The following is a 14693-nucleotide window of genomic DNA, read 5'->3' on the forward strand; positions in this document are numbered from 1 at the left end:
CAGCCGGTCTGATTCTTCTCAAACCTAAGTCGCATCAAGTCACTCAGCTGCTCTTCAGCCTGCAGTGTCTCCTGAACTCACCCTGGCCCTCAAGGCCAACCCATCTTCCTCGCCAGCCTCGCCTCTTGGTGTCTCCCTCACTTGCTCGGCTCCTATCGTGCGGGCCTCCATGCCGCTCCTGAACACACACAGCTTCTTTGCACCCAAGGCCTTGGCACCTGTGGCTGCTTCTTCCCTGGGCTCGGGTCCCTCACTGAGTCAGACTTCTGCTCAAAGGTCGCTGCATCAGAGGCCTCCCTGGGCCCCCAGTCCGCCTCCTCTTGCCCTGCTTCGTTCTTCATGACACTTGTCTCCCTCGGTAAGAACAGGAACCTCATACATCCTGTTCCCAACTGTGTCCTCAGCCTCTTGCACAGGGCTGGTACATACTAGGTGCTCAGGAAATGTTGAGTGAACGAACGGCTGATGTCAAGCCCCAGAAGAGGCCTCCCAGGCCCCAGGGCAGGGCAGGCAGCTCACTCACTCCACTCCAGCAAACAAACAGCAAAGTAGGTTGTAGCTCAGCCTGTAGCAGGCGGTAGGGACAGTCAGTCTTCCAGGGAGGAAAACATGGAAAGGGGCCTGGGGCGTGCAAAGGTGGGGAGGCAGGTGGTAGGGGGAGTGGAAGGAGGTGAGACCCCAGGAGCGGTGGGCGGGGCCAGCACATGAAGGGCCTTGACCCCAGCCTTAGAAGCTTGGGTTGTAGACCGCGCGAGGTGGCTCACGCCTGTAACCCCAGCACTTTGGGAGGCCGAGGCGGGCAAATCACCTGAGATCAGGAGTTCAAGACCAGCCTGGCCAACATGGCACAACCCCGTCTCTGCTAAAAATACAAAAATTAGCTGGGTTTGGTGGCACACGCCTGTAATCCCAGCTACTTGGGAGGCTGAGGCAGGAGAAAGGCTTGAACCCAAGAGGCAAAGGTTGCAGTGAGCCGAGGTCACACCACTGCACTCCAGCCTGGGCAACAGAGCGAGACCCTGTCTCAAAAAAAAAAAAAAAAAAAACAAAGTCCCCACCACAGCAGCTCACCAGGCCTTGTCCCGCTGCATGTCCCATGTACTTAGTTCCCGGGTCACTGCTCCAGCCATATTCCTTCCCACCTCATCGTACAAAACCTTTTCCTGCCTTCAGCCTTTGCACTTTCTGTTCCTGTGCCTGGAACATACTTCCCCCAGATCTTTGCAGGCCTGGCTCATTCTTGTCTCCAATCGGAGGCCCTGCTTCAGGGCCCTTTTCCCTGGCCATCACTGCTCCCTCCTGGCGTTTGCCAGGGACCGCCATTGCCTTTGTGATCTGTTCCATGAGTTTAGTGGCAGTCTAGCCTTCTGGGGCTCCTTACTCCAGGCCACGTGCCCTTCCTTGCATGCATGACCTCACTGATTCCTCACAATGCATCCTTGGTTTCGGTGCTATTGTTGCCCCCACTTGACAGATGCAGAAACTGAGGCTCAAGAGGTTAAGTCAGTGGCCTTAGGTCACCCCACTGGTCCAAGTGGCCACACTGGGATTCAGTGGGCCCAGGTCATCTGACTCAGTCTTGCTCCCCACACAATCGGCTCCCACAGCAGGGTCTCTTGGACTGAATTACCGCCTGGTGCCCCTCCCAGCGCAGTGCCAGGAGCTGAGAAACTTGTGACCTGTGATGAATGCCTGACCGAGGCGGGTGTCTGCTGGGGCCATACGGCCCCGCCCAGTCCCTCCGAAGCTATTCTGTTCTTGCTCTGCACCCTCTTGGGGACACATCCTCTCCAGCACTTTCCTCCTGGCTTCTCTGAGGACTGCCTGCCTCTGTCTCCCAAGAGAGCCCAGTCTTAATGGTTCCTCCTCTGCTGTCCCCAGGGCCCAGGCTTCTGCCTGCCTGTTTCCCCTCCCACCTCCTCTCTGTCTTCAGGGAGCCTGATATTGTTCTGTTTTTGGAAGGAGATCCACACTTATTTTCAGCGCTGGCAGCAGTGGGGTCTCCTCCAGCCCCCGGAAGCATGTGTCTGTTAGTAAGTGTTCGAGAGGGGCCTTCCTGGTGTTATTCCTCTTTTCTGGGGCCTTGAGAGAGGAAATGAACGTTATGCAGCCCCTATGGGGCTTCCAAAGCTCTGCTCTGGGTACTTGCTCTAATTCTCCCATCTGCCCCAGAGGGGATGTTAATTTTTACAGAGGACCAATCTGAGGCTCGGAGAGGTTAAGTCACTTGCCTGAGGCTACCCAGCATAAGCAGCAGGCCTTGGATTTGAATTGGCGGGTCTGTATGATTCCTCAGTGTCTGAAGTCTCTTTCTGATCAGGAGCCTTTTCTGTTCTGGTTTGGTGGCATCTGGTGACATCCAGGACTGGGCCTCAGGTTCCCAACCTGACAGTTTTCTGGTAGGAGCCTTGGACTTGTTGCAGTACACCAGTGCAAGGGGTTGTGTGACTAGCAGTCCCTGGAGTTGTGCAGTCCACGGCCCAAGCAGCTGGCCGTGTACTGCACATCTCCCAGTGTTCAGAGTCTGCCTTGCTTGTCTTGGTTTGTCAGTAGCTCAGGAGCCCCTTTGACAATGGCTCTGTCCTGACTTCACAGGCGCTCCCCACTGTGCCTCTGAGCACCAGACTTGAGACTGAATCGAGTCGCCTGATCCCCAGTCACACTGAAGCTACCCTCCCGGCCTTCCTCCCTGCTGGTCCTCTGCCTGATCCCTTGGGTCTCTGGGAGTAAATTCCATCCCTTCTTCAGGGCCCACCTCCAGAGGCTGAGAGTCAGCTTGGCCAGGTGGAAAAGAACACAGGTCTGGGAATCAGGAGACCTGGGTTCAACTTCAGCCTGTGCTGCTGACAACAGTGCCACCTTCTCTTTCTGAGCCTTAGTTTTTCTACTCTGCCAATTGGGAACACTACAAATAGCCCTCTCCACTCTAGGGGTGATGGTGAGGCTGCAGAGCCTGTGGGAGGCAGAGCTGTGGGCCCCGATGCCCTCACGGGTCTGAAGTCTCATGGTCATGGGGTTTTCCCAAATCAGGACTGGCAAATGGTGGCTCACGGGCCACCACTGCCCACCTCTGTGCCCATGGCTGAACCATGGGCTGAACACAGCTTCAGAATCCTTTCTTTTTTTTACTGTGGCCAGATTAGCCTAACATACCATTTTAATGTTGTATAATTCAGTGTACATTTTTTTCTTTTTTATAATTTGTAATTTATTTATTGTAGAGATGGGGTTTTGCTGTGTTGCCCAGGCTGGTCTCAAACTCCCAGGCTCAAGCAATCCTCCCACCTCAGTCCCCCAAGTAGCTGGGACCACAGGTGCATGCCACCATACTCAGCTAATTTTTGTTTTGTTTTGTTTTGAGACGGATCTCTGTCGCCCAGGCTGGAGTGCAGTGGCGAATCTCGGCTCACTGCAACCTCTACCTCCCAGGTTCAAGCAATTCTCCTGCCTCAGCCTCCTGAGTAGCTGGGACCACAGGCACGTGCCACCACGCCCAGCTAATTTTCTTTATTTTTAGTGGAGATGGGGTTTCACCGTGTTAGCCAGGATGGTCTCAATCTCCTGACCTCATGATCCACCCGCCTCGGCCTCCCAAAGTACTGGGATTACAGGTGTGAGCCACCGCGCCTGGCCTATACCCAGCTAATTTTGGTATTTTTTGTAGAGATGCGGTTTTACAATGTTGCCCACGCTGGTTGTTCCTTTTTATGGCTGAAAAATTGTCCAATTTATGAATGTACCACACTTTGTGTCCCCATTCATCTGCTGTGCACATTTAGGTCAGAATCCCCCTTAACACACAACATCCTAACCCAGAGGTCTCTAACCATTTTTTTTTTTTTTTGAGACAATGTCCCGCTCTGTCGGCTGGAGTGCAGTGACACAATCTCAGCTCACGGCAACCTCCACCTCCCAGGTTCAAGCCATTCTCCTGTCACAGGCTTCCGAGTAGCTGGGATTACAGTTGTGTGCCACCACGCCCAGCTAATTTTTTGTATTTTTAGTATAGAGACAGGGTTTCACCGTGTTGGCCAGGCTAGTCTCGAACTCCTGACCTCAAGTGATCTACCCATCTTGGTCTCCCAAAGTGCTGGGATTACAGGCATGAACCACCGCACCTGGCCGGTCTCTAAACTTTTAATCGTGCTCCTTTCAGGAAAAATGTTTGCACCAATCCTCCCATTCAATGTAGATTTATTGGTTTCATATATGCTACTACTGTACTAATATATCCTGTGCATTATAAAATCCATGTAAACTATAGACATCTTACAGAGATAAGATAATATTAAGAATGCTTCTCATATTTTTCACATACCTGTCCTGGAATCATTACCCATCCTGGGCATCACCCAGGAAGAAAATATGCTCAACTCACATTGAAATTGTAGTTTCTGAGGCCGGGCGTGGTGGCTGACTCCTATAATCCCAGCACTTTGGGAGGCCGAGGTGGGCAGATCACCTGAGGTCGGGAGTTTGAGACCAGCCTGACCAACATGGAGGAACCCCATCTATACTAAAAATACAAAATTAGCCGGATGTGGTGGCGCATGCCTGTAATCCCAGCTACTCGGGAGGCTGAGGCAGGAGAATCGCTTGAACCCAGGAGGCAGAGGTTGTGGTGGACTGAGATTGCACCATTGCACTCCAGCCTGGGCAACAAGAGCGAAAGTCCATCTCAAAAAAAAAAAAAAAAGAAATTATAGTTTCTGGCCGGGCATGGTGGCTCACGCCCGTAATCCCAGCACTTTGGGAGGCTTGGGGCTGGTGGATCACTGGAGGTTAGGAGTTTGAAACCAGCCTGACAAACATGACGAAACTCCATCTCTACTAAAAATACAAAAAATTAACCAGGTATCGTGGCAAACGCCTATAGTCCCGGCTACTCAGGAGGCTGAGGCTGGTCTTGAACTCCTGGACTCAAGTGATCCTCCTTTCTCAGCCTCCTAAAGTGCTGGGATTACACACGTGAGACACCATGCCCAGCCAAAAAGCGTGAACTTTAGAGTCAGGTACCCTGGGTTTGAAGCCAGGTTCTGTCACTGACCAGTTGTGTGACTTTGGGTGTGTTAACAATAGCTGAGCCTTAACTGTCTTATCTGCAAAATGCTGATGGTGCAGGATGTATTGGCAAGCTATTGCTGCACAACAAATTGCCCTACAACATAAGGCTTATAACAAGAAATATTTGTTATCTGACAGTTTCTGTGGGTGAGGAATCTGCTAAGCTTGGTGCCACTGCCTCAGGGTCTCTCACAAGGCTATAATCACAGCATCAGGTAGGGCTGTGGTTTCATCTGAAGGCTCAACTGAGGGTAGATCCATTCTTTTTTTTTTTTTTTTTTTTTTTTTGAGACGGAGTCTCACTCTGTTGCCTAAGCTGGAGTGCAGTGGGGTTGATCTTGGCACACTGCAACCTCCACCTCCTGGGTTCAAGCGATTCTCCTGCTTCAGCCTCCAAAGTAGCTGGGACCACAGGCACGTGCCACCACACCCAGCTAATGTTTTGTATTTTTAGTAGAGACAGGATTTCACCATGTTAACCAGGATGGTCTTGATCTCCTGACCTCGTGATTTGCTCACCTCAGCCTCCCAAAGTGCTGGGATTATAGGCATGAGCCACCATGCACCACGCCCAGCTCTTTTTTTTTTTTTTTTTTTTTTTTTTTTTTGAGACGGAGTTTCTCTCTGTCACCCAGGCTGGAATGCAATAGCACAATCTCGGCTCACTGCAACCTCCGCCCAGGCCCAGCAAACAGTTCTCCTGGGCTCAAGCAATTCTCCTGCCTCAGCCTCCCAAGTTGCTGGATGACAGGCATGTGCTACCACACCTGGCTACTTTTTGTATTTTTAGTAGAGACAGGGTTTCTCCATGTTGGCTAGGCTGGTCCCGAACTCCTGACCTCAGGTGATCCACCCACCTCGGCCTCCCAAAGTGCTGGGATTACAGGCGTGAGCCACTGTGCCTGGCCTGGGTGGATCCATTCTTAAGCTCACTGACATGGTATTGGCAGGATTCAATTACTTGTGGGTGTTGGACTGAGGGGCTCAGTTCCCTGTGGGCAGTTGGCTAAAGACCCTCAGTTCCTTGCCATGCAGTCTTTCCAAAGGGTAGTCCAAAACACAACAGCTTTCATCAGAGCAACCAGGGAGTGGGGGAGAAGAGGACGAGCAAGATGGAGGCAGAAATCCTTTGTCACTTACTCCCAGAAGTGATATCCCATCACTTCTTGCCATATCCTGTAGTGGGGTCAGTGAGATAGCATGTGTAATATACCCTTGGGATCATGCAGGGTGCCCTGTATCTGGCAGGATTGTGTCTATTGTTATTTTCTATTTAATACACACACACACACACACACACACACACATAGATAGATTTTTTTTTTTTTGAGAGTGTCTTGCTCTGTTGCCCAGGCTAGAGTGCAGTGGCTTAATCTTGGCTCACTGCAACCTCCACCTCCCAGGTTCAAGTGATTCTCCTGCCTCAGCCTCCCGAGTAGCTGGGATTACAGGCATCCGCCACCATGCCCAGCTAATTTTTGTATTTTAGTAAAGACGGGGTTTCACCATGTTGGCCAGGCTGGTCTCAAACTCCTGACCTCGTGATCCACCCGCCTCTGCCTCCCAAAGTGCTGGGATTACAGGCGTGAGCGACCACGCCTGGCCCGAGAGTTTTTTGTTTTGCTTTGTTTTGTTTTTTTGAGACAGAGCCTCTCTCTGTCACCCAGGCTGGAGTGCAGTGGCATGATCACGGTTCACTACAACCTCCACCTCCTGGGCTCAAGAGATCCTCCCCCTCATCTTCCCTGGTACCTGAGACTACAGGCACGCACCACCATACCTGGGTAATTTTTTTATTTTTTAGTAGGGGCGGGGTTTTGCCATGTTGCCCAGGCTGGTCTCCAACTGCTGAGCTCAAGTGATCCTCCTACCTTGGCCTCCCAAAGTGCTGGGATTACAGGCATGAGCCACCACCCCCAGCCCACTGTTATTTTTTCATTCATCACTCCATCTACTTGCCAGGCCTGGGTAGGGGCCTGAGACCCCAGACCAGCCCACAGCTCTGCAGAGGGAAGGAGAACACAAGATGGGGCCCGGCACATGCCAGCATCTGGAGGAGTCAGCCTGGGGGTGGGGGCTGGGCAGGTCCACAGCCCAGGAGGGCCTGTGGCTCCTTGTTCTTTGAGAGTCGGTCCAGTCCCAGGATATCTTGGTGTCAGGGCCCAGGAAGACCTTTAGGACCTGGCTGAGGGGTGTTGGAAGGGGCCACATCTATGGTCAGAGAGTCCTCAGTGCCTGTGGCTGAGGAAGGAAGTGATTGACCCCCACCTGGTGCTATGTGACCCACATAAGTTACCCTCCCTCTCTGGGGATCCCCCTCTGAAATGCCTGCTTAACCCGGGTCTTGTAGCTCACGGAGGGCCAGGCAGCAGGCGAGGGTGGCAGCCTCCCCGTCCCCTGGGTGGTGTGAGGCAGGGGTCTGCCCAGGTCTAAGGTGTGGCCCCACCCCCGACAGCTGTTCTCCATAGTGGTGTTCGGCTCCATCGTGAACGAGGGCTACCTCAACAGCGCCTCCGAGGGGGAGGAGTTCTGCATCTACAACCGCAACCCCAACGCCTGCAGCTATGGCGTGGCCGTGGGCGTGCTCGCCTTCCTCACCTGCCTGCTGTACCTGGCCCTGGACGTGTACTTCCCGCAGATCAGCAGCGTCAAGGACCGCAAGAAAGCCGTCCTGTCCGACATCGGTGTCTCGGGTGAGCCCCACCCAGCAGGTACCCCCTGCACAGAGTCTACAGAGGGCTGTCCCGGCCATAGGAGGCGGCTGCCACCCTTCTTCCCATGTTTCAGATGAGGAAATGAGGTGCAGGCGGGTGAAGGGATGGACTCAGGGTCACATGGCTGGCAGCAGGAAGGATGGGACCAGGACAGGGCCTGGGACCCCAAAATAACCCATGCTGCCCACAGGCAGGGGAGCGTGGATGGGATTCTAGTTCCTTCTAGTCTAAGGGACCCATGGATGGCACTGGGCATGTGCCAGCCCCCATGGGTTGGCCCGTGTTTCAGTGGCCTCTTCTGTGCCACCTCCCTGGGGCAGCCTCATGAGGACTAAGCAAGGCGGTGACTGGGTGCCCAGTGCACAGCAGGGGCCCTGGAGCCTCAGCCTCCCCACGCCTCCCAGCCAGACCTTGGCAGGACCAGGGCCTGGACCTGTGGAGCCAACCTGACCTGCTGCCCTTTGCCCTTCAGAAGCAGCCTTTGGCAGAGGCACCCTGACCTCTGCTCCGTGACTTCCAGGAATCTGATTGGTGGATGCTCTCAGTCAGGGGTCCGAACCCGAGGCTTCAGCCTCGCTGTTCTGAGGCTTGGGTCCCCGGACTGGGACCAACCCCTAGTTCTAAGCCTGGAGCTCTCAGGATAAGCCAGGCTGAAGGCAGGTCATGAGGTCTAGTTTTAGAAGGAACTAGAACTAAATGAATGGTTCTCAAACTTCCACAGAGCCTCAGGGTTCCCTGGCAGTGCCTCTGGGAGGTGGGCTGGGCCCCAGGTGGGCACCCCACCTGCTTGGCAGATGCACGCCTTGTCCTGAGCAGGTCTGGGCTTCTCTGGGGAGACCTTGGCACTCACAGGAGATTGCGTGGCTATGAGGCTCCCACTGCTGACGCCCCCAGGCTCGGCTCTCAGTGGGCCCCTCGCTAAACCTGGGGCTCTGTGGGGTCGCAGCACGTTAGAAGTCGAAGCCCAGACCCACCCAGCCAAGCTGCCATCCTTGCCCCAGCCTCGTCCTCCTTCCCATACCTCATTTGTCTGGCAGCCTGAGGGTTGGGGTCTTCCTGCCTGCAGAGTTGCAGGCATCAGGGGTGGACCGGGGGGGCCCACGTCAGCGGTGTGGCTGGACATGGGGGTTTGGCAGAGGCTGCAGAAATGCGGCCTGAGTTGATTACCTTCTTTCTCTGTCTCTCCCTCCATCCTCCCCTCTCACTGCCCGTGGCTCTCCTCTGACTGGCCCTGACCCTGCCCTGTCTGTGGCCTCCTCCCCCCTGCATCTGGCTGGCTTCCCTCTTCTCGCCTGCATCTTCTCTTGGCTCCCCTCTCTCTTCCCCTACCCCCTTTGCCTGTCCCTTTGGGGGTGGGGGAGCATGGGAGATGCACTCTTGAATGTCCCTCTGTTCCTCGGCTTCCCCATTTTCTCCCCACTCACCCTCTCCCCCATGTGTGGCACTGCCTATTCTGCCCGGTCCTGGGACCCCCCAGCCTTCTGGGCTTTCCTCTGGTTCGTGGGATTCTGCTACCTGGCCAACCAGTGGCAGGTCTCCAAGCCCAAGGACAACCCACTGAACGAAGGGACGGACGCAGCCCGGGCCGCCATCGCCTTCTCCTTTTTCTCCATCTTCACCTGGGTGAGTACAGCCACCGCGCACCAGCCCACACTCGTCCCCTTTCCCCACTGAGCCCCTGGATGGGTGGCCTTTCGCTAGCCTGGGACCCGCTCTGCCTCTGGGAGCCCACACTACCCTCGCTCCCTCTTCTGCCTGCCTGTCTGCGGCGCTCACAGTGGTGCTGCCTCCCTCAGCAAGGAGGCTACAGCCCTCGGGGGTAGCATGGTCACTGGAGATGGCAGACCCTCACTGTGGTGCAGAGCAGCCTTCCTGGGGGTCACGGACCACCCCCCCCCCAAACCACTCTGGGTAAATGGTGTTTATTATCCCCTTTCACAGATGAGAAAGCAGAGGCCTAGACAGGAAGGTGAGGCTTACAGGGTTTGAGGCTGGGAAGCAGCCCTGCCTAGGAGTCAGGAGACCTGCTTCCGATCGGGGCTGCCTCTGATTTTCCTAGCCTCTGTCTTCCCATCCATAAAATGAGAGGGTAGGATCTGGGGGACACAGGTGTCGACATCAGATGCACATGGGCCAGGCAGGGCCTGAGAGCCGTGAGCAGGCCGGGTGACACATGCGTGCCTATCCTAAGTCCTAAGAGGGTACCTCTGCTCGGCTGCCAAGCAGGAATAGGGACCTAGAGAAGGCAGAAGTCTGAATTTTTACATGAAATCTGATCTTGATATGTTGGAAGTTTATTCAGGTTTAAACAATATATTGTGTGTGTCAAACAAAGTATGTCTCTGGGCCCAGCAGGCCCTGGGCTGGCAGCTCGGCTGGCCCCTCTTTCCCACTGGTCTGGGTCATGTCTGTTTCTTCTCTCCTAATCACCCTTCTGCAGAGATCTGGGGCCACATCACCTCCATAGCCCCATCCCAAGAGCCCTCCCCATAACCCACAGCTGCCTCCCCTCTGGACCGGCGAGCACTTCTGGGCCCAGCCTCCTGCAAGGAGACTCTTGAGGCTACATACAGGCCGCCAGCCGTCCCTGTTTCCCCCATCCTTCTGGTTTGCCCCGGGTTGACGTCTTTTTCTTTTTGAGGGCCCCTGGATATCCATTTTTGAGGGGTACACCCATCTCCCCAACAATATTAGAAGATAGCATTTGGAGGGGGAGACCCGTGGTTCAGGCCCTAGTGGGCCAGCCTTGGCTGCTCCACCCCTCAGTGTCCTCAAGACTGGGTAGGAAGAACCAGGTGACCCCAGGGGATCTCAGTCCAGAGAAGGTGCCCCAGAAGTGGGGACCACCCAGCCTACAGGGAGGAGTTTAGGGGCGGGGCTCACAGAGGAGTAGTGGATGATTTCTAGCCATGGGTCTGAAGTACCTGACCAACAGGTGCCTGCCCGGCCCCCTGAAGCCAGCCTCCCTCCTGGCACCTCTGCAGCTCTTCCCCACTGGCCTCACCCCTACTCTCTCCTGGCAGAGCCTGACCGCAGCCCTGGCCGTGCGGAGATTCAAGGACCTAAGCTTCCAGGAGGAGTACAGCACACTGTTCCCTGCCTCGGCACAGCCGTAGGCCTCCCCGGCTTGCAGAGGCCGGCAGCCCTGTATCACCCCTGGCAGTGAGGTGGCAGGAGCAGCCTAGTGCCAGAAATGTCCAAGATGCCAGGGCATGCAGGGCAGTGGAAGGCTGGCTTGAGGAACCAATTCAGGTTCTCCACTGACTCATTCATTCCTTCACCGCCTCCTTCATTGATTCTTCATGCGTTCATTCATTCAGTAAACATTTATTGAGCAGCTGTTTTGTGCCTAGTGATGAATTAGGTGGGGTCCTTGGCTCCAGGAGCCCACAGGCTGGGGAGGAGAAAACAAACACATCAATATCTCTTCCAAATGGACAGCCGTGGACAGTTACCAGGTAGGTAGCGGCCCCATACATGGGCTGCCTAGAGGCGTTCATGGTCCCCATTGCTGAGCTGTGGGTGCAGAGCAATAGCCTCTCCCTTCACAGCGGTGTGAAGAGTGACCTCACTGTCCTTAGGGTTAGCATCCTGGCCGAGGATGTCACAGGGCTCCTGGTCTGGCTCTGTCCTCATGTGCTATGTGACCCTGACAAACCCGTGCACCTCTCTCAGCCTCAGTCCACTTACCTGAACTGAGGGGTGATAATGGACCAACCTCTCAAGGCTGTTGTGCCAATGAAACAAAGGCCAGCCCAGGGCTTAGCACAAGCATGCTCAATAAATGTAAGCTCTTTTGTTCATTCATTCATTCATTCATTCATTCTTCTCTCCAGAGAGTCAGGGGCACCTCCAGAATCTCTACTTTAAGAGTAATTCTCATGTGATGAATCCTTGTTCCTCCAAAGGATTTTGGTCTCTGGTTCTACACAGGTTTCCTGCTTGAGGCCCCCAGCTGCCTGGGCAGGAACTCACCCATTCCTCCACTCTCTGCTGGAGTTGAGGAGGCTGGTGGAGCACAGACAGTTCCCCCAAAGCAATGCCTCAACCCTGCGAGGGCCTGAGCACATCGAGAGTGAGCTTCCTGGCACTGGAGGCATCCCAGTGCAGATGCAGACTGCCTGCTGCACGCTGGAGATGCTGCAGAGAGAGCACCTACACTGAGAAAGTGGGGCCAGGGGACCACCAGGTCCCTGGGCTCTCAGTAGAACTCCCATCCTCCCTCTGCAGCCCAGGCCAGCGGGGGCCCAGGCCTCTCCTTTGCTCCTGTCTTGTGGCCCCTTAAACTGGTTGCCCAAATGAAGCTTTGACTTAGTGAGGGCAGAGAGCTGAACACAGAGACAGTATGAGTGCCTACAGCCAGAGGCATCTCCCTAGAAGGATCAGTAGGGGTCATCTGCTCCAGCCCTCTGCCTCTGTACAGGAAACCAGCCTGGATAGTAGAGCCAGGGAGCTCGGGGAGAACCGCGTCTACAGACATTGCTCTCAAGGTTCATTCAGTCAGTTCCTGTGGGCTGGCCAGGGCTCAAGTGTACCCTCAGGGGGCTCTTCACCTCCCCTGCTTCTTCAGGCTCCGGCGTCTGAGCCCCCAGCAGCCAGGACCTCATGCTAACATAGTGGGAAACCCCAGAGGGCTACACCTTATCCCTTAGCCCAATTTCTTTAGACCTAGTCTGCCTTTCCCAAGGTGCTGGCACTTTGCTTTAAATACCCACCTCCCAGAAAGTGCTTCCCCTCAGAACTTTGGTCAATGAGTACAATCAAAAGGTAATGCCCTAGCTGGGCATGGTGGCTCATGCCTGTGATCCCAGCACTTTGGGAGGCCAAGGCAGGCGGATCACCTGAGGTCAGGAGTTTGAGACCAGCCTGGCCAACATGGCAAAACCCCGTCTCTACTAAAAATACAAAAATTAGCTTGGTGTGGTGGCGGGTACCTGTAATCCCAGCTACTTGGGAGGCTGAGGCAGGAGAATCACTTGAACCCAGGAGGCAGATGTTGCAGTGAGCCAAGGTTGTGTCATTGCACCCCATCCTGGGTGACAGAGCGAGACTCTGTCTCAAAAAAAAAAAGAAAAAAAAAAAGGAAATGCCCAGTCACTGGGTTTCTGGAACTTTGTGGAATAAAACGCTAGGTATATTCACTCTCTACCTCTTCACTAAGTGGCTCTTTAGGTTGTTGGTTGACTTAGTGCCTCGTCAGGGGCCAGTGAAAGGGAAGGAGGTGAGGGCGCCCTGACCTGGGAAGGGGTAGGACCCCATGTTTAGGGAAGGGTTCTAGCAGTAACTCTGCCACGGGCACTTCCTTTTCTAGGCCTCAATCTTCCCAGCCCTAAAACAGGGGTCTGGAGAGTATCAGCACATTCCCATCACAGGCAGATTCCCCGGGCCGGGAAAGTTTCTGGAGAAGGCTTTTGCAATAAACCTCTAAGCTGCTTTTCTAATGACAAGTTTGATTTACTTAAACTTTGACTTAGCTCAGTGTGGTCAGTGTCATTGTCCTTAATAACAATGTAATTGCTTTTATTGAAAAATAATTTCCTAACCATGCATGTGTGCTGTAGACAAGTCTTTCCCAATCTGAGATCTGTGAAAAAAAAAAAAAAAACGGGGCGGCTTCAGGCTAGGCGCGGTCACATTGAATAGTCAGGGCTCTGCCAAGTCAGATGATCCTGAAACTTGTTTCACTCTATTTAACTCAGTTTCTCACTTAGAATTAGGTTCAGCAGCAGGTGACCGAAATCCCAGATAACAGTGATTTCAACAAAGTCCAAGGCTGTGGAAGTGGTCCAGGGCTGGCATACTGGCTCCAGAGGTCTTCGGTGACCCAGGCATCTTTCCTTTTTTTTAGAGACAGGGTCTCACTCTGTTGCCCAGGCTGGATCATAGCTCACTGCAGCCTCAAACCCATAGGCTCAGGCAATCCTCCCACCTCAGCCTCCTGAGTAGCTGGGACTACAGGCCAGTACCACTATGCCCGGCTAATTTGGTTTTTGTGGATTTTTTTGGTAGAGATGGGGTCTTGCTATGTTGCCCAAGCTGGCCTTTTTTTTTTTTTTTTTTTTTTTTGAGACAGTCTCACTTTGTTGCCCAGGCTAGAGTGCAGTGGCGCTGTCTCAGGGTACTGCAACCTCCGCCTCCTGGGTTCAAGCGATTCTCCTGCTTGCACCTCCCGAGTAGCTGGGATTACAGGTGATGCCACCATGCCCAGCTAATTTTTTTAATTTTCAGTAGAGATGGGGTTTCACCATGTTGGCCAGGCTGGTCTCAAACTCCTGACCTCAAGTAATCTGCCCATCTTGGCCTCTCAAAGTGCTGGGATTGCAAGCATGAGTTGTCGCGCCTGGCCTCTCCTGCTTTCAAGAAGAAGATCAGATTGTTATTGTGCCTGCTGTTTTTCAAGTGCCTTTAACTCAACATAGTCAATATGCCAGAGGTGCATATTTTAGCCCAGGCTGGTCTTGATCTCCTGGCCTCAAGCAATCCTTCCACCTTGGCCTATCAAAGTTGTGGGATTACAGGCATGAGCCGCGGTGCATGGCCCCCAGGCATCTTTCATTCCTACAGACTTGGCTCATGGTCTTTGTGGTCCCTTTTGGCAATTAGAGCTCCAGCCATCACATCTGTGTTCCAGGCATCAGGTCAGAGGGTGGGACAGAGAACATGAGGGTACCCCATTGGCCAAAACGTAGTCACATGGCCATGCCTAGCTGCAAGAGAGACAAAAGAATGACTCTTAGGAGATGCTAACAGTCCTTTGTCCCGCTGAGAAGCTTTTTTTAAGAAGGCTGTTGTGAGCCTTTGAGCCATCTTAACACTCCATAATGGAGATCTAGAACTTTTGGTAGCCCAGACTGACCTCTGGGATTGGGAGACAGGGGCAGGTGATTTCTGGGGTACTTTCTGGCTGGATGATAT

The 14693-nt window shown here is 53.9% G+C and overlaps 1 protein-coding gene across 3 annotated transcripts in view, besides 1 other annotated feature; it reads left to right on the forward strand.

Moving 5' to 3' along the window:
• Nucleotides 1-14693, forward strand: part of SYNGR1 (synaptogyrin 1) — a 35585-nt gene that overhangs the window by 16806 nt on the left and 4086 nt on the right. For 2 of the 3 annotated variants that reach the window (NM_145731.4, NM_145738.3), the window contains exons 2-4: nucleotides 7520-7757; nucleotides 9256-9401; nucleotides 10802-11585. In NM_145731.4, coding sequence (NP_663783.1) covers nucleotides 7520-7757; nucleotides 9256-9401; nucleotides 10802-10894 — 477 coding nt within the window. In that variant the 3' untranslated portion in view covers nucleotides 10895-11585. Of the gene's footprint in view, nucleotides 1-7519; nucleotides 7758-9255; nucleotides 9402-10801; nucleotides 11586-14693 lie in introns of those variants that run through there. The other variant, NM_004711.5, reaches the window with a different exon arrangement.
• Nucleotides 7118-7633: an enhancer, noted in NCBI's record as "H3K4me1 hESC enhancer chr22:39769919-39770434 (GRCh37/hg19 assembly coordinates)". NCBI's record gives its function as "activates a minimal SCP1, AML or CMV promoter by ChIP-STARR-seq in naive H9 embryonic stem cells {active_cell/tissue: H9 hESC(naive)}" and the evidence as "EXISTENCE:reporter gene assay evidence [ECO:0000049][PMID:30033119]".

The sequence above is a fragment of the Homo sapiens genome, chromosome 22, assembly GCF_000001405.40.
Source record: "Homo sapiens chromosome 22, GRCh38.p14 Primary Assembly".
Lineage (NCBI taxonomy): Eukaryota > Metazoa > Chordata > Mammalia > Primates > Hominidae > Homo > Homo sapiens.